The sequence below is a fragment of the Homo sapiens genome, chromosome 7, assembly GCF_000001405.40.
Source record: "Homo sapiens chromosome 7, GRCh38.p14 Primary Assembly".
Taxonomy (NCBI): domain Eukaryota; kingdom Metazoa; phylum Chordata; class Mammalia; order Primates; family Hominidae; genus Homo; species Homo sapiens.
The window spans coordinates 65,750,587-65,769,104 of NC_000007.14; the positions used below are offsets into that span (position 1 = coordinate 65,750,587).

At 43.4% G+C, this 18,518-nt stretch overlaps 1 long non-coding RNA gene, 2 other non-coding genes and 1 pseudogene across 5 annotated transcripts in view, besides 3 other annotated features; 3 read left to right on the plus strand and 1 right to left on the minus strand.

Moving 5' to 3' along the window:
• Positions 1-18,518, minus strand: part of LINC03006 (long intergenic non-protein coding RNA 3006) — a 123,801-nt gene that overhangs the window by 103,577 nt on the left and 1,706 nt on the right. Inside the window, exon 2 of one of the 2 annotated variants that reach the window (NR_038378.4) lies at positions 12,345-12,431. This is a non-coding gene — a long non-coding RNA (long intergenic non-protein coding RNA 3006). Of the gene's footprint in view, positions 1-296; positions 339-12,344; positions 12,432-18,518 lie in introns of those variants that run through there. The other variant, NR_103527.2, reaches the window with a different exon arrangement.
• Positions 31-300: an enhancer, noted in NCBI's record as "active region_26073". NCBI's record gives its function as "activates an Ori minimal core promoter by ATAC-STARR-seq in GM12878 lymphoblastoid cells {active_cell/tissue: GM12878}" and the evidence as "EXISTENCE:reporter gene assay evidence [ECO:0000049][PMID:35858748]".
• Positions 321-540: a silencer, noted in NCBI's record as "silent region_18199". NCBI's record gives its function as "represses an Ori minimal core promoter by ATAC-STARR-seq in GM12878 lymphoblastoid cells {active_cell/tissue: GM12878}" and the evidence as "EXISTENCE:reporter gene assay evidence [ECO:0000049][PMID:35858748]".
• Positions 519-13,089, plus strand: CCT6P1 (chaperonin containing TCP1 subunit 6 pseudogene 1; annotated as a pseudogene). Its single transcript, NR_003110.2, has 12 exons — positions 519-692; positions 3,941-4,075; positions 5,194-5,366; positions 5,883-5,988; positions 7,397-7,551; positions 7,650-7,731; positions 8,589-8,685; positions 9,274-9,412; positions 9,838-9,970; positions 11,060-11,162; positions 12,361-12,434; positions 12,695-13,089. The product of NR_003110.2 is annotated as a chaperonin containing TCP1 subunit 6 pseudogene 1 (transcript).
• Positions 661-730: an enhancer, noted in NCBI's record as "active region_26074". NCBI's record gives its function as "activates an Ori minimal core promoter by ATAC-STARR-seq in GM12878 lymphoblastoid cells {active_cell/tissue: GM12878}" and the evidence as "EXISTENCE:reporter gene assay evidence [ECO:0000049][PMID:35858748]".
• SNORA22 (small nucleolar RNA, H/ACA box 22) lies at positions 4,940-5,073 on the plus strand. The gene has a single exon (NR_002961.1). It is a non-coding gene; the product is annotated as a small nucleolar RNA, H/ACA box 22 (small nucleolar RNA).
• On the plus strand, positions 9,466-9,600 carry SNORA15B-2 (small nucleolar RNA, H/ACA box 15B-2). The gene has a single exon (NR_145713.1). It is a non-coding gene; the product is annotated as a small nucleolar RNA, H/ACA box 15B-2 (small nucleolar RNA).

Sequence of the window (18,518 nt, forward strand, 5' to 3'; positions counted from 1 at the left end):
TCTTCGTTAGTCCTTACAGCACCGCATGATTCCGGCGGAGGGTGCTTATCAGACTAGCCTGTGTGTCCCCACGGCACCTACAGCACCGTCAAGCACAGGGTCCAGAAAGCTCCAATGAAAGTCGTGAAAGCAGCAAGGGAAGGAGACTGAGGAGCAAACCGCGCGAGTAGGGGCAGGAGGAGGCCCACCCTACGCCCTGTCCGGCGCGGGGCATAAGCCCTGCCTGCATCCTGAGATCCCGGGTCCGCAAACTTGGGCCCCACTGAGCAGCAACGCCAGAACCCAGAAGCACTTACTGCCAGGAACAGGGTACTCCAGTGCGCCATAGCGTCGCGGCCGCTGGGCGAGGGGTGGGACTGCAGGCACCGTGCAGCCGCGGACCAATGAGCGGGGGCCGGACAGCCCGTGGCCCAATAGCGGCGGCGCGGGCACGCTAGGGGCGGGCTGGGCGCGCCGACTTTTCCGGAAGATCCGGATAGTGCATCCCGGCCACGGCGCGCCTGCTCTGGGCTCTCCGCGTGCCGCGTCGCTTTCTTTTCTTCCTCTGGAGCAGTTATGGCGGCGGCGAAGACCCTGAACCCCAAGGCCAAGGTGGCCGGAGCGCAGGCGGCGCTGGCGTTCAACATTAGCGGGGCGCGGGGTCTGCAGGACGTGCTGAGGACCAACCTGGGGCCCAAAGGGACCATAAAGATGTAAGGTGGGGCTGGCGGGAGGGCTGGGTGGGCACCGCGCGCCGCTGCGCACCTGGCGGGCCCAAGACCGCAGATGGGAGCCCGCTGCCTCGGGGCTCCGCAGCCACCCTTCCTCGCGTCCTCCCGGGCCGGTCCTGTTCCCTGCTAAGCCCCACCGTTGCGTCCATTTCTTCCTGCGTCGATGCCGTCTCCATGGAGAAAAAAGCGGCTCTAGTGTGCGGCGTTCCCCGCCTTCTTGGGCTTCCAGACACCCTGAGGACTCTGCACAATCTCTGCGGGGACGGGGTGGGCACTACACTTGTCCTCCAGCCTGCGGGAGATAACTAGCTCCATATTCTCGGCTCCCTAAGATCGGGGAAAAGCCCGTTTTCTAATGGGACTTTTTAATTTAGTTTTCGTTGATAACTAGCTCCATATCCCTGGCTCCCTGAGATCTGGGAAAAGTCCTTTTTTGTTGTTTGTTTTGGTTTTTTGTTGTTTTTTTTTTTGAGACAGAGTCTCGCTCTGTCACCCAGGCTAGAGTGCAGTGGCGCGATCTCGGCTCACTGCAAGCTCCGCCTCCCGGGTTCATGTCTTTCTCCTGCCTCAGTCTCACGAGTAGCTGGGACTACAGGCGCCCGTCACCACGCCCAGCTTGCTTTATTTATTTATTTATTTATTTATTTTGTATTTTTAGTAGAGATGGGGTTTCACCGTGTTAGCCAGGATGGTCTCGATATCCTGACCTCGAGATCCACCCGCCTCGGCCTCCCAAAGTGCTGGGATTACAGGCGTGAGCCACCGCACCCGGCTGGAAAAGCCCATTTTCTAATGGGACTTTTTAATTTAGTTTTCGTTTTAATTTCGTTTTTGTCACAATTTGATTGATTTCTGTCCCTTAAACAGTCTTGTTTCTGGCGCTGGAGACATCAAGCTTACTAAAGACACAGGAGTTGACGATCAGCCCTGGCCAACATGGTGAAACTCAGTCTCTACTAAAAATACAAAAATTAGCCGGGCACGGTCCTGCACAGTGCGCTGCTTCACGAAATGGTGAGAGGTGCTCTGCTAGGTCAGAAATGTCTTGATTTTCCGTAGAACTTTTGCTTTGTAGAAAGATTTGCAATGTCCATTCTCAAGGTAGGAGAACATTCAGAAGTGACATGTAACAGTGACAGTAATAGTACTGACTGTGCCTGGAGTCTGACAGCCCTGTCTTTGAATCCCTGCTTTTTTGCCATTCACAGTCTGGGCTAAAGGACTGTAATTGTACATTAATTATAATAAAATTTGAAAAATTAAGGGTGGTTGACACAATCACATGGGCAAAATGCATGAGGATGGTTTTTCTCTTTATGGGTTTTTTTTTTTTTTTTTTTTAAGACAGAATCTCACTCTGTCGCCCAGCCTGGAGTCCAGTGGTTCACTGCAACCTCCGCCTCCTGGGTTCAAGTGATTCTCCTGTCTCAGCCTCCCAAGTAGCTGGGATTACAGGCTTGCTCCACCATGCCCAGCTAATTTTTGTATTTTTTGTAGAGATGGTATTTCACCATGTTGGCCAGGCCGGTCTTGAACTCATGACTTCAGGTGATCCGCCTGAGTCAGCCTCCCAAAGTGCTGGGATTACCAGGCGTGAGCCACAGCATCTGGCCGGTTTTTCTCTTTTTAAAACAGCAATTTCTCTGTTATGTCTCATCTCCATCTCCAACTGGAGGGGAGAGAAATCTCTTTGCTTTAACATTTTTAAAGTCTTAGGGATGGAGAATATGAGATTATTGAAGGGAGTATGCGTTTTACTCATCCCTAAATTCCCAAAACTTAACAGTTCAAATCCAAGAAAGGGAAATGATTTCCTGCTGATTTGAGTTCAGAATAATCAGGGTTTTGCTAGTAGTATACCATGCTATCAACATCCAGATGAAATATCTTTAATAAAGACTTGCTAATCTAGGAGGTGTTTTTGTTTTTACTGGGTTCAGTGGTGGCTCGTGTTAGCAGAAAAGTGGAGCCACGGTTAAACTTGACGTCAGAATTGTTTTGGGGCCGGGTGCAGTGGCTCATTCTTGTAATCTCAGCACTTTGGAAGGCCGAGGTAGGTGGATCACTTGAGGCCAGGAGTTCACGATCAGCCCTGGCCAACATGGTGAAACTCCGTCTCTACTGAAAATACAAAAATTAGCCAGGCATGGTTCTGTACGCCTGTAGTCCCAGCTACTCCAGAGGCTGAGGCAGGAGAATCGATTGCTTGAACCTGGGAGGCTGAGGTTTCAGTGAGCCAAGATTGTGCCACTGCACTCTCCAGCCTAGGTGACAGAGTGAGACTGTCACCAAAAAAAAAAAAAAATTTATTTGGGTTTTAGTGTGTGAGAAATACAGCATAAGTAGAGAGAAGCACGTAGAACATTTACAATTTAGGAAATAATTATAAAGTGGACACACACAACCACTATTGTAGTTAAGAAATAAATTGTTGCTACCACCTCAGAAGTCCCCTCCCACTGGAACTTCTCTCCAATCTCCAGAAGTCTGTTTTTCAGTTTTCTTTGAAAAAATTACAAACCTACGAAAATAATGATTATATTGTGTGTGCCCTTTACCTAGATTCACCAATTGTTTACATGTTGCTCCATTTCTTTTCTATTTTTCCTCTGAATCATTTGAAGGTAAGCTGCAGACATGTCATTTTACCTTTAAAATACAATTTTTTTCCGCTTTTTTTTTTTTTTAAGAGATAGGATTTTGCCATGTAGCCCAGGCTGGTTTCGAATTCCTGAGTTCAAGGGATCCATCTGCTGTGGCCTCCCAAAGTGCTGGGATTACAGGCATGAGCTAACGCACCTGACCTTTCCTTTTAAATTACTTGGCCATTGCAGAGTAACAGTGGAGGCTGCTGAGCTTTCATTTTAGGAGATACCTGGCTTATTCTCGTAGAGCCCTACACTTGCCTAAAGAGGCAAGGATGTAAAATTATCCGTTACTGTTAACTGTTAGCTGTCATCTTGCGTAAACTTTCACTGAGCCTCAAGCTTCCTCATCTGTAAAGTAGAGATAACCTGGGAAATAAATTACACATGAAAATGTTTCCATCATTATAATTGCATGCGCATGATAGCAAATTGTGACTTTTTAATCTTAGTAATTTGTAGCCAAACACTTGGGTAGCTTTTTCAAGTAGATAGTACTTAAAGAGGCCCTTCATGCATTTTATTTGTGGTATTTTTAGACTGTTTCATATTGTTTTAAGTGATTCGTTCTTTTTCTACTTTCAGCAAATTCAACACCCAACAGCTTCCTTAATAGCAAAGGTAGCAACAGCCCAGGATGATATAACTGGTGATGGTACGACTTCCAATGTCCTAATCATTGGAGAGCTGCTGAAACAGGCAGATCTCTACATTTCTGAAGTATGCACAACTTTTTTTTGTTTTGTTTTTTTGAGATGGGATTTCACTCTTGTTGCCCAGGCTGGGGTGCAATGGCATCTCGGCTCACTGCAACGTCTGTCTCCTGGGTTCAAGCAATTCCCAGCCTCAGCCTCCTCAGTAGCTAGGATTACAGGCATGCGCCACCACGCCCGGCTAATTTTGTATTTGTCGCAGAGACGGGGTTTCTCCACGTTGGTCAGGCTGGTCTCCAACTCCTGACCTCAGGTGATCCACCCATCTTGGCCTCCCAAAGTGCTAGGATTAAAGGCGTGAGCCACCGCGCCCGGCACACAACTCTTGTTTCTGTAATATATTATTGTATATAGGACGTGTCAGATACTTATTTATACAAATTGATGTGTTAATACTAGCGGAGGCCATACAGTAGGATTAGGGGGCTTAAATCTGGGTCTTTGTCTTGGTCTAAAACAAATTTGTTGTGAGCTTGGACAGGTTATGGAACCTTTTTTGGCCTGAAAATAATTTTGTAATCAAGTTGAATTGCCTATGTGATTTGTATCTGTCTTTAGATTAATAATTGAGATTTTAAAATGGGATGTTTAGGACTAGGCATATTTATTTGTTAGGAAAGAGACAACCAAAAGCTTACATTTAGATAAATTCCACTTTTTTAGCCCTGACTAGTTCCAAGGTTTAAAACAAACCTCAGTGACTACGAATCTATTGTCAGAATTTTCGGGTAAAAGAGAGCAGATAGTCTTTATTTATTTTTATTAGTAAATGATGGAATTAGTTTGAGATTACCTATAGAAAAGATAGAATAATGCTACCATCTGTGAGTTGTTGGGACACAGTGTCGGTTTTGACATGATTCGGAGTGGTTTGCACAGTGAACACCCAAGTGTGCTTTATAGTTCCCTTGGCTTTGACCCTGTGCTAGAGCATTGCCTGCTCTTCTCCTCTGCATTAAAAGGAATATTTATCCTTTTAAATGTATTCAGAAAGCCAGCACATTATATTACCTCGTGTTCAAAGATAGGATGATCAGAGTATCCCTCCAAGAATTGTCTGAACTTTATCATGAACTATAGTTGCACCTAATTGAAGATGCAAGTGTTATTGTGTGTTTATTGTAGGGCCTTCATCCCAGAATAATCACTGAAGGATTTGAAGCTGTGAAGGAAAAGCCCTTCATTTTTTGGAAGAAGTCAAAGTAAGCAGAGAGATGGACAAGGAAACACTTAAAGATGTGGCCAGGGCATCTCTTTGTACTAAAGTTCATGCTGAACTTGCAGATGTCTTAACAGAGGTATGTATTAAATTTTGTCTGTGTCTGGTATGGTACACCTATGTAGAAAATCTCTGATAGTAGAAACATGAATATAATTACCAATTTCAATCACAAGGTGCTATGTAGGTTCATTTTTGTGGCAGTGATACCTAATCTGTGTCTCTAAAAAGTAAAATGAGGAAATTCAAATAATAGTATACCTAACCGGGTTTTAAAAGTAAAATTGGAGCTTTCATTAAAAGGTTTATAAAGTGGAGATTTTGTTATTAGAAAGCTTCCAGTTATCAGTATTTTTAATGAAACACCAGGAGGAATGTTAATGTTAAGGAATGTTAATGTTTGAGAATTACAGATTGAGATTTCAGAAATGTAACAGCTGTTCATATATAATGTATTCTATCTGCTTATAGAAAAATACAAATCAGTGTAGAGATTGTAAAATGAAGAAACTGTCTACTTTAGCCTTCTGAAAAGCAACATGTTTCTGCTGCTGCAAATTGAATTTACTTAATGGTTATCCTTCTCCTATTGCAGGCTGTAGTGGGCTCCATTTTGGCCATTAAAAGAAAAGATGAACCTATTGATCTCTTCATGATTTTGTGATCATTGACAAGAAACATAAATCTGAAACTGATACAAGGTAGGTGGTAGAAGACTATGAAATACTAATGGTCGGGCCTGGTGGCTCAGGCATGTAATCCCAGCACTTTGGGAAGCCGAGGTGGGTAGATCACCTGAGGTCAGGAGTTCGAGACCACCCTGGCCAACATGGGGAAACCCCGTCTCTACTAAAATTACAAAAATTAGCCAGGCATGGTGGCGGGCTCATGTAATCCCAGCTACTTGGGAGGCTGAGGCAGAAGAATTGCTTGAAACTGGGAGGCGGAGGTTGCAGTGAGCCAAGACCACACCATTGCACTCCAGCCTGGGTGATAAGAGCAAAACTCCATCTCAAAAAAAAAAAAAAAAGAAACTAATAAAGTGTGTTTTGAAATTTAGGGGTGCTTTGTACAATATATATTGTTGGCAAAATTTTTAATATATTTGGATATAAAATATTGTATATTTACCTGAAGATATCAGTTGGATAAATTGCTAGGTAAAGATATAAGTTGGATAAATTGCTAGGTGAAGATTGTTTTTACTTTTAGTAATATTTTCTCCTGAAATAAGGTGAATGTTATGTTGTATTTATGGGTAGAATTATTCCGAAAGGTGAACAACATCAGTCATTTGGCGTTTATTGAATTGCTAGGTACAAAGCATAATGAGAAGCAGTAGAGGAATTAAAAAAATTTTTTTTTCTAAAGACTTAGTTAGAAAACATGTATATGTTCATTTTTCCTTTCTTTTTATGGAGAATGGAGTCTCCTTATGTTGCATAGCCTGGTTTTGAATTCCTGGGATTAAGGTGTCCTCTCACCTCTGCCTCCCCAAGTGCTGGCATTACAGGCACTTGGCAGAAAACATGTTTTTAAAAGATATCATCACAGTTTGACAGCCTACCAGGGAGACTATCTCTGCAGACTTTTCTGTACAGCATAGGATCTTCAAGTAATTCAAGAAACAACGCTGACTGCATGAAAATTATCAGTGCCTTCTCAGTTCGGTGTTTAACGTACACCCATCTGGAAATCAATAACCATAATTTTGTGTATGTTTGAACAGCTTAATCAGAGGGCTTGTTTTGGACCATGGAGCATAGCATCTTGATAGGAAGAAAAGGGTGGAGGATGCATATATCCTCATTTGTAACGTGTCATTAGAATATGAAAAAACTTAAGTTTATAGCCCCTTAACTTAAATGGAGGAGCTTCGTGTTTTAGGTGAGTTACTTTTTTGTGAAACTTCGTTTCCCACTGTAAGGACAATAATCCTCAAATTGGTTTGGGAGAGTTATAGGAAACAGCCTCTGAAGATGTGCAAGGGGCAGGATTGGAGCTCAGTGAGCTGTTTGTTAAATCTTAGGACTAATCCAGTTTCAGAAGCTATTTTCTCAAAAAATAAATGTTTCCCTGCTTTCTGTAACTTTTTTTTTTTCTTAATAGAGAAGTGAATTCTGGCGTTTTTTACAAGAGTGCAGAAAGAGAAAAACTCATAAAAGCTGAAAGAAAATTCATTGAAGATAGAGTTAAAACAAATAATAGAACTGAAAAGGAAAGTCTGTAGTAATTCAGATAAAGGATTTGTTATTAATCAAAAGGTGAGAATGAAAATCCAGTGTATAAACTAAATAGTATGTATCATCCTTTTTACTTTTAAGGTGAAAGATGTTGAAACTAATTTTTATTTTTGTTATAGGGAATTGACCCCTTTTCCTTAGATGCTCTTTCAAAGAAGGCATAGTCGCTCTTCACAGAGCTAAAAGGAGGAATATGGAGAGGTATGAGTAGCAGATTTATCTGAGTAATTTGACTTTTACTTATTTTGCAAATGAATTGGGATTATTTTTCCTTATACTTTATTTTTGGGTTTTCAACTGTACAATTAATTGGCATTAACTATATTCGCATTATTTTGCACCCGTCAGCACTGTCCATCTCTAGGATTTTTTTTATCATCACAAACTGAAACTATACCCATTAAATAGTTACTCCCCATTTCTCATTCCCTCTATGCCCTTGTAAACATTATTTTACTTTTTGTCTCTGAATTCAGTATACTTTCTCCCAAAGAGCTCACCACAATAAAAGTTTTTTTAAAAATATTATTTTATTATTTTTTTGAGACAGTCTTGCTCTGTTGTACAGTGGCATGATCGTGGTTCATTGCAACTTCTACTTCCTGGGTTCTTGGGATTCTCGTGCCTCAGCCTCCCGAGTAGCTAGGATTACGGGTGTCTGCCACCATGCCCGTTGAATTGTTTCGTTTTCGTTTTGTTTTGGTAGAAATGGGGTTTTGCCATGTTGGCTAGGCTGGTCTCAAACTCCTGGCCTCAAGTGATCCACCCACCTCAGCCTCCCAAAGTGTTGGGATTACAGGCGTGAGCCACCATGCCTGGCCATTAAAGAGCTCTTGTCCATCTTTAGATTTGCTGACTTGGGGAGAGTGGTTTAAATGGAGGGTTAAAAGACTGGTTTTCAGTTGGTTGATGGCAAATGAAAAGGCTTAGGTTAAAGTACATTTTAAACTCTAATTTTGTGTGTAATTCTGAAAAATTCCTTCCTAGAAATTACTGGTCTTCTCTTTGAACTTCACTGGTAACATTGCTTATTCATTTCCCTTAAAATGCTATTTCAGGCTGACTCTTGCTTGTGGTGGGGTGGCCCTGAATTCTTTTGAGGACCTAAGTCCTGACTGCTTGAGACATGCAGGACTTGTATATGAGTATACATTGGTAAGTGTATTTTCTTCCTGAGGGTAATAGAACTTTTTAGCTCATGAATTATTTTTGTTTTGTTTGAGATGGGTTCTCACTCCTGCCCGGGCTGGAGTGCAGTGGTGTGATCACAGCTCACTGCAGCCTCATCTTCCTGGGCTCAAGTGATCCTCCTGCTTCAGGCTCCTGAGCAAATGGGACCACAGACATGTGCTACCATGCCTGGCTAAATTTTTTTTGTAATTTTTGTAGAAACAGGGTGGTATTGTGTTGCCCAGGCTGGTCTTAAACTCTCGGGCTCAGGCTGTCCTTCACCCTCAGCCTCCCAAAGTGCTGAGATTACAGGCATGAGCCACTGTGCCTGGTTCATGAAGTCTTTAGCAGAAAAATCAATTGAAATTCAGGATCAGATTTTTGTTTATATACATTTTGAAGGTTTATGTGTAGTAATGGGAAGCCATTTATATGTGATTTTTCAAAAAGATAATTTGGTTTGATGTGATCAAGTTTGTTCCTTATTAATATGCTGCTTGTCATTCTCTGTAAGTCCCTCTTCTCTCTTTGCACACATCGTGTTTTTGAAAATCATGTTTCTTCTACACAAAGGGAGAAGTTCACCTTTATTGAGAAGTGTAACAACCCTCGTTCTGTCACATTATTGATCAAAGGACCAAATAAGCCCACACTTAGATCAAAGATGCAGTAAGGGATGGCTTGAGGGCTGTCAAAAATGCTATTGATGATGGTAAGATCCTCACCATATTTCAATTCTATTAAATTGTTTTGCTGGTCTGAAAAGCATGGCTGAATACTGTGTTCTTTTATCAGTAGTTTACACAGCCAGACACCATGCAAAAGCAGTCTTCCCTTTAGAATGACTGATGGTATGCTAAGGTTTTTCATAGCATATCATTATTAAAGGTGAATACAAATAAATGAACTAATACTGATCTGTTGAAAGAGCTGCCAGTGGCCAGTGAAGCCATTCTGGTTGGACCATTCTCCTATTTGATATGTTAGTCGCTTGTATTGTGGCTTTCACATGCAGTACTTAAATTGATGTGGTCATAGTGAATTTGTAAGAAATTAATGGCTTTCATATGTATATTTTGTTATTCATAATTAGTTCTACAGTTTTCTTAGCATTTTTCTTTTTCCCCCATCCAACAGGCTGTGTGGTTCCGGTGCTGGTGCCGTGGAAGTGGCAATGGCAGAAGCCCTGAATAAATATAAGCTCAGTGTAAAGGGCAAGGCACAGCTTGGAGTCCAAGCATTTGCTGATGTGTTGCTCGTTATTCCCAAGGTGTGTATGCCTTAAACAGTCAATCTTCCAAAAGATTCAGCTGATCAAAACTTTTTGATAATGTAGGCTTTATTCATAATACGGATTTTGGATAAACGGGTTTGATCAGTTTTCTTCCTGACTATAAAACATCCAAACGTATTTGGTTTCTCTGGGAGGCCTGAATAGCTGACGTTTCAGATGGCAAGAGAGAACCTGTAGCTTAATATTTGCAGTATTAGGGGTTATACTTGAGTACCAACTTGCTTTTTGTTTTGGTTTTAGCTAAACTGATATCATTGTTTTTTATTATATACTAATTTTGAAGTATAGTTTATGACTGATGTATTGCTGCTGGGTTTGGGGTAGATGAGAGAGTTGATCAGTAACTTGTGTCTGGTTATTCTCTGAAGGGAACATAAATGTTCTGTCTTCATGCAATGAGATTCTTGTTTTGTTTTGTTTTGTTTTTAAGAATTTTGAGAGTTTTGCTCTTGTTGTCCAGGCTGGAGTGCAATGGTGTGATCTCGGCCCACTGCAACCTCAGCCTCCCCAGTAGCTGGGATTACAGGCACCTGCCACCACACTCAGCTAGGTTTCTTTTGTATTTGTAGTAGAGGTGGGGTTTCACCATGTTGGCCAGACTGGTCTCATACTCCTGGCCTCAGGCGATCCACCTGGCTTGGCCTCCCAAAGTGCTGGGATTACAGGCATGAGCCACTGCATCTGGCCGAGACTTTGTTTTGCTTTTTTTTTTTTTTTTTTTTTTTGAGATGCAGTCTCTTGTCGCCCAGGCTGGAGTGCAGTGGCGTGATCTCAGCTCACGACAACCTCCACCTCCCAGGTTCAAGCGATTCTCCTGCCTCAGTCTCCTGAGTGGCTGGGACTACAGGCACGTGCCACAATGCCCAGCTAATTTTTTGTATCTGTAGTAGAGACAGGGTTTCACCATGTTGGCCAGGATAGTCTCAATTTCTTGACCTTGTGATCCGCCTCAGCCTTTCAGAGTGCTGGGATTACAGGTGTGAGCCACTATGCCCGGCCCCTTTTTTTTTTTTTTTAAATATCAATTCTTCCTGTTTTCTCAGGAATTAAATTTGTTTACTTTAGGTTCTTGCGCAGAATTCTGGTTTTGACCTTCAGGAAACATTAGTTAAAATTTAAGCAGAACATTCAGAATCAGGTCAGCTCGTGGGTGTGGACCTGAACACAGGTAAGAGAATGCAACTGTTTGTAGAGGAAAAACTAGATGTAGTACATGTGAGTTGAAGCCAGGAAAGATTCAAAATGGGGACCAAAAAAAAAATCTTTTGCTTTGCAATTTGACACCAGTACTATTAGGGAAGTCTGGGTTCTAAAATGGGATAAAATAGGATATTAATAAAAAATGGAATGACTAGGTATAATAATTAAGGGAGTAGAGTAGACTGAGTAATTTTGGTATAGTTTTGTTGGAGATGTTGAGTGGTGGTAGATGGTTCAGATTAATGTTGAAGGATTTTCATATTGCATTTGCCTTAAACTCAGTTCTTTGTTTCTTTTTGTTTCTTTTTTTTTTTTTTTTTTTGAGACGGAGTCTTGCTCTGTTGCCCAGGCTGGAGTGCAGTGGCAAGATCTTGGCTCACTGCAACTGCTGCCTCCCAGGTTCACGCCATTCTCCTGCCTCAGCCTCCCGAGTAGCTGGGACTACAGGCACCTGCCACCACGCCTGGCTAATTTTTTGTATTTTTAGTTGAGATGGGGTTTCACCATGTTAGCCAGGATGGTCTCGATCTCCTGACCTCATGATCTGCCCGCCTCAGCCTCCCAAAATGCTGGGATTACAGGCGTGAAGCACCGCACCCGGCCACCTTACTCAGTTTTTAATCAAGTACTATGATAAGAAAATAGATTGGGTGATTATATTCATGGGTGAAAAACAGCTAAAGATAGCAAATAATGCCAGAAGAGGGGATCTAGAAATCTAATGAAATGGTGACAGCCCTGATCTTAGGCCCCTGTAACAAAACAACACAAATTAAGTACAAAGTAGGAGACAGATAACAGGTACATCCATGCAGTATGTGCAAGACCTATTGCTGTCAACATTATTATTTAATAAAAAAGATTTCTGGAATGAGGGAAATGATCAGTCCATTTTAGCCAGATTAGAGTTGCAGTGCTGTACTTTAGTATGGGTAAACAGAAATGTATCCAGAAGGAGAGAGGGGTGTTCAGGTCTTCTAAGTAGAAGTCAGACACTCCTCAAATATTGTGGACAGGGGTCATGGTTTAGAGTAGAAAATTGGGCTAACAGAGAAGCTTTGAATTCCCATAGTTAATACTGGAGGAAATGAGTCATCGGTGATAAGCAAAGCCACACACAATATTGTTGGTTCTTATTGACTGAATTTACTTTGGTTGCCTTTTAGGTGAGCCCGTGGTAGCAGCAGAAGCAGGCATTATGGGATAACGATTGTGTAAAGAAACAGCTTCTTCATTCCTGGTAAGTTTGGGAAAATGAAAACTAAACTGTTAGAGAATCATCATACTCTTCATTTGGTGTTTTCTGTTTAGTTGCTCATTTTCCCCCATGAATAATGTAATCAGCTGAAAGTATGGAAACCGAACTAGCCCTCTGATGTGTAGAGGGGAAGGGGGAAATTTAATTGGATGTTAACGTGTGCAGCTTAGTTGGAAGTGGGAAGTTGAGTCGAATTAGGGCTCCTAATCATCTGAGCTATCTAATTTTTATCCCCCTTTCAGCACTGGTTGCCACCAACATTCTCTTGGTTGATGAGATCATGCGAGCTGGAATCTTCTCTGAAAGGTTGAATTGAAGCTTCCTCTGTATCTGAGTCTTGAAGACTCTGCAAAGTGATCCTGAAGAATACAGCTGTGGAATTTTTGTCCAAGCTTCAAATGAGTTTCAAGGGAATTTTCCCATGTGAAAAAAGGAGAGAACACTGGCATCTGTTGAAATTCGGAAGTTCTGAAATTATAATCACAGTATTTTTTAAAAATTGCACTGAAGTGTACACAGATAAAGCAGGTCTTTCACCCAGTGAACAGGATGTTTTGCTTTAGCAGCAGTGACATAAAATTCCATGTTAAATAAGCATATATTACCTACCTTATTAAATATTCCTTGAAAAAGCAGATTTTAATGGTTTAATTTTATGTGGACATATGTTAAATTATTCAGCAGTACCCTATTGTTAAGCATCTGGTTTTAAAATTTTTATGCTAATATAAATAACGCTTAGTAATTTAAAATTTTGGAAGCATCCCGTTAGTGTAAATTTCTGAGTAAATTTATTGATCAGTTGGACTTTTCACGCTTTTGAAATAGCTTTGCTAAAATGCTCCCCCTACAAAGTTGTAGGAAATGGGAAGAGGAGTAAACTAGAGGCAAGGGAGTTGAGAGAGCTGGAAGGCATGGTGGCTAAGGGCTACGGTTATCAGGTGAAATTTGAGATTTGTAGGCTGACTATATTTTCAAGCTTCTGAACTTTTGCTTATGCAAAATATTCATCCCAAAGCCTCTAGCGTCATAGTTTCCTCACCCAAATTACTATGTTTCCACAAGATTTATATAGTTGGTCTATCTCTGCGGTCCTTGAAAGTGAAGTTGGTGTTACTAGGCTGTGGGTTTTGGGGGCTCAGCAGTGACCTGGAGTGTGCAAATAAATGTTAAGTTGAAACCTCCTTTGTGGTCTTGCAATGGTTTGACACACAGAAGCAATCTTAAAGGGAATGAAAGCTGTCCAAAGGTTCAAAAAGTAGTGAAGGGGCCTCTAGGGACCCTCAACCTGCTTTTCCTTACTTCCCTGGGCAGCCTTGCAGGTGGTATGGCCAGTCCTACACCTCGTGTCCGTCAGTTTCCCCCGCTGAACCGTTGGGTGAGGGGCGGTGGTGGAGCAGCATGCGCATGTGTGGAGGAGGCGACTGCCACCGTGGTGCGTGAGGGCGGATGAGCAGCGGGGCCGTGGGTGTGCGCGGCGTGGCGCGCCAGTCCTGATGCCAGCATGGGTTGTTCATCACCGCTGCTGTCCCTGCTGTCGCTCCTGGTTGGTGCGTGGCTCAAGCTAGGTCACTGAACCGCCGGCCACGCCGGAGGCGCTGGGAAAGGGGATGGGGCCCTCCGCCCTGGCGGGAGAGAGCCTGAGGCCCCTCTGCCCGCTTCCGGGATGCGCCTGCAGCCGCCGGCTGGGGAGGTCGCTCTCGGTGCGCAGGGTGCCTCACCGCCTTGTGCTTTCAACTTCTTGCTCTGGAATCTTTCAATCTTATAAAAGGGAAAGAGAGGCCGGGCGCGGTGGCTCATGCCTATAATCCCAGCACTTTGGGAGGCTGAGACGGGTGGATCACTTGAGGTTAGGAGTTGGAGACCAGCCTGGCCAACATGGTGAAACCCCGTCTCCACAAAAATACAAAAAATTAGCCGGGTGTGGTGGCGTAGGCCTGTAATCCCAGCTACTCAGGACGCTGAGGCAGAAGAATCCCTTGAAGCCAGGGGGCGGAGGCTGCAGTGAGCCGAGATTCTGCCACTGCACTCCAGCCTGGGAGATAGAGCGAGACTTCATCTCAAAAAAAAAAAAAAAGGGAAAGAGGAGAATGTAACGAGGAACGACCCCTGCCCTCACGTACTCGTGGGCCACCTTAAAGAGCTGCCAGTTTGTGGCCAGTCCTGCTCCTGTGGAATCGCACTCTCCCCGTCTCCTGGAGCCATTTTGAAGTGGGTCCAGACATAACCCATTTTATTCTAAACCTTCAGCTGGAATAGTCAAAAGAAGTCACGAAAAAATAATTACCCTTTCTCAACTAAAAAACTGGCAGTGCTGCTTAATAATATATCCAATCTGTTCAAATTCATCTATTATCCCATAAAGGGTTTTTAACGTTTGCTGGCTGAATTAGGGACAAAATAAAGCTCATACATTGCAATTGTATGTTATTTCTTAATTCCGATTCAATCTGATTATTTCCCTACTTACTCCTTTTATTTATTTGTTTTTTTGGTGGGGCGGGGGGGCAAGGTCTCACCGTGTTGCCCAGGCTGGAGTGCAGTGGTGCCATCATAGCTCACTGTGGCCTCAAGCAATCCCTGCCTCAGCTTCCCAAAGTGCTGGGATTACAGGCCTGAGACACCATGCCAGGATGATCCATTTTTTCCCCTTGGTGATATATTTGTTGAAGAAACTGAAAATAGGCCAGGCGCGGTGGCTCAAGCCTGTCATCCCAGCACTTTGAGAGGCCAAGGCGGGTGGACCACAAGGTCAGGAGTTCAAGACCAGCCTGGCCAATATGGTGAAACCCCATCTCTACTAAAAATACAAAAAATTAGCTGGGAGTGTTGGCACACACCTGTAGTCTTAGCTACTCAGGAGGCTGAGGCAGGAGAATCGCTTAAACCCAGGAGACAGAGGTTGCAGTGAGCCGAGATCATGCCACTGCACTCTGGCCTGGGCAACAGGGCAAGGCTCTGCCTAAAAAAAAAAAAAACAAAAAGAAAGAAAAAGAAAATGGATGAAATCAGTGTGAATGTGTCAGAATAAGAGAGCCAAAGACAGGATCTTGAGGAACATCAAAAGACCAGGACTCTGCCTTGAAAGAAGTTACAGTGCTTAGACATCCTTTCTTGGAAAGACACTGAAGTGGTGCATCAAGCTGAAGAAGTGTGGCCTACTGGAAACAGTACCGTAAAGAGACCCAAATCTAGTCCTGTCACCTACTAACCAGCTCTTTAAGTCATATTTATTTTTTGGGTCTTGGTTTCCTCCTGTGGAATAAGGAGTTTGAAGCACAGACCCTTTTTTATTTATTTTGAGACAGAGTCTCACTCTGTCCCCCAAGCTGGAGGGCAGTGGCACGATCTTGGCTCACTACAACCTCCGCCTCCCAGGTTCAAGTGATTCTCCTGCCTCAGCCTCCCAAGTAGCTGGGATTACTGGTGTGCACCATCATGCCTGGCTTTTTTTTTTTTTTTTTTTTTTTTTGAGATGGAGTCTCGCTCTGTTGCCCAGGCTGGAATGCAGTGGCACAATCTTAGCTCACTGCAAGCTCCACCTCCTGGGTTCATGCCATTCTCCTGCCTCAGCCTCCCGAGTAGCTGGGACTACGGGTGCCCGCCACCACGCCCAGCTAATTTTTTTGTAGTTTTTAGTAGAGACGGGGTTTCACCTTGTTAGCCAGGATGGTCTTGATCTCCTGACCTCGTGATCCGCCCACCTCGGCCTCCCAAAGTGCTGGGATTACAGGTGTGAGCCACCGCACCCAGCCTAATTTTTGTATTTTTAATAGAGACGGGGTTTCGCCATGTTGGCCAGGCTGGTCTCTAACTCTTGACCTCAGGTGATCTGCCCACCTCTGCCTCCCAAAGTGCTGGGATTCCAGACGTGAGCCACCATGCCTGGCCGGTCCTTTTTAATTCTATGATTTTTCTGAGGCATTCAAACAAGTCTAAAGGTGCTCATTTAACTATATGGCGATAATCATTGCGCATTTATGGCAGGGGCCAGGGATATACTGTCAAAAATATATATGTATTATATACTTCCCTTCTGGAGCATATAATGGTGAGAATCACCAAGAACTGATAAGAGTTCAGTAAATGGAGAGGAAGAGGCAGAGAAACAGCATGAGCAGAAGGATGGGTAGAAAGTGCTAGATGTATTTTAGGGTAGAGTGTCTAAATTCGCCTAGCTGGGGCAAGGGTTTGTGTAGAGGAAGAAAGAGGTAAGTGCAAATCTATCATGTGCGCAACATTTCACCCATGCTATTTTATTACTATCTTTTTATTTTTTATTTTTTGAGACAGGGTCTCACTCTGTCACCCAGGCTGGAGTGCAGTGACATGATCATAGCTCACCGCAACCTTGAACTCCTGGGCTCAAGCAATCCTCCTGCCTTAGCTTCTGCACCCTGTCTCTGAGCCATTGCACCTGGTTCCGTGTTACTTTAATTGATACAGCTACTACCTAAGAGATAGTGAGATATTATCCCCATTTTTCATACTTATTTTTCTTTTATGAACAAGCTACAGTTGTCCATAGGTATCCTCATTTTTCAGATGAAGAAACTGAATCTCAGCCGGGCGTGTTGGCTCACACCTGTAATTCCAGCACTTTGGGAGGCTGAGGTGGAAGGATCACTTGATCTCAGGAGTTTGAGACCAGCCTGGGCAACATAACAAAACCCCATCTCTACAAAAAATACAAAAATTAGCCAGGCGTGGTGGTGCACACTTGTGGTCCCAGCTACTCAGGAGGCTGAGGTGGGAGGATTGCTTGAGCCCACGGGGGCAGAGGCTGTAGTGAGCCAAGACTGCATGACTGCACTCCAGCCTGGGTGACAGAGTGAGATCCTGTCACAAAAAAAAAAAAGAAAAAAGAAAAGAAATTGAATCTCAGATTAAGAAATTTGCCTAAGGTTTCCCATCAAACTAAGTGGCAGAACAAGAATGTGAAGGCAAACAAAATGCAAAAGGAATTTAAAGCCAGATTTTTAAGCCTCCACATTTTTTGTTTTGTTTTGTCATACCATCATGAGTATTGCATACGATCCAAATATTACCACTTGTTTTATATATATGCATGTATTACCGATATCTCTCCTTTTTATCTGCAGGAAATGGACAGGCTACTAGCATGGTCCCACTGCCAGGTGGGAGATTCCTGATGGGAACAAATTCTCCAGATGGCAGAGATGGTGAAGGCCCTGTGTGGGAGGCGACAGTGAAACCCTATGCTATCGACACATTTCCTGTCACCAACAAAGATTTCAGGTACATCAGATGTTCTTCCAGGAGGAATGAAGGCCCTCTCTAATCTCATTCTTTTTTCCTTTCTTTTTTTTAGACTGAGTCTCACTCTGTCACCCAGGCGCTGGAGTGCAATGGCGCAATTTCGCTCACTGCAACCTCCGCCTCCCGGGTTCAAGTGACTCTCTTGCCTCAGCCTCCCAAGTAGCTGGGATTAGAGGCGCCTGCCACCACACCCACCTAATTTTTGTATTTTTAGTAGAGACGGGGTTTCACCATATTGGCCAGGCTGGTCTCAAACTCCTGACTTTGTGATCCACTTGCCTCGGCCTCCCAAAGTGTTGGGGTTACAGGTGTGAGCCACTGCGCCTGGCCTAATTCTTAACATTTAAAGGGAAACTAACTTTTTCACTGTCACGTGTCATCTTTGCAGTGTACTATGGGATAAGTGTTATCTACGTTATTCAGATGAAGAATCTGAAATCCAAACAAGTTTGACTGACTCTGTCAGTCAGTGGATGAGCTTGGCCTGGAACTGAAATCCCTGGGCTCTTGAGCCAGTCTGTGCATTTTCCATTACACTGGGCATAGCACTGAGAAATATAAGCAAATGCCAGTCACTCAACAGAACCCTCTTCTACATGCGGAAAGGGATTGGGAGAAGGGACATCATAGTAGAGAGTCCCTTAAATTCCCCTTATAGGCCAGGTGTGGTGGCTCACACCTGCAACGTGAGCTTCCTTTAGGAACCCGAGGCAGGATTGCTTGAGCTCAGGAGTCTAAGACCAGCCTGGCAACATAGGGAGACCCTATCTCTGCTAAAATAAATAA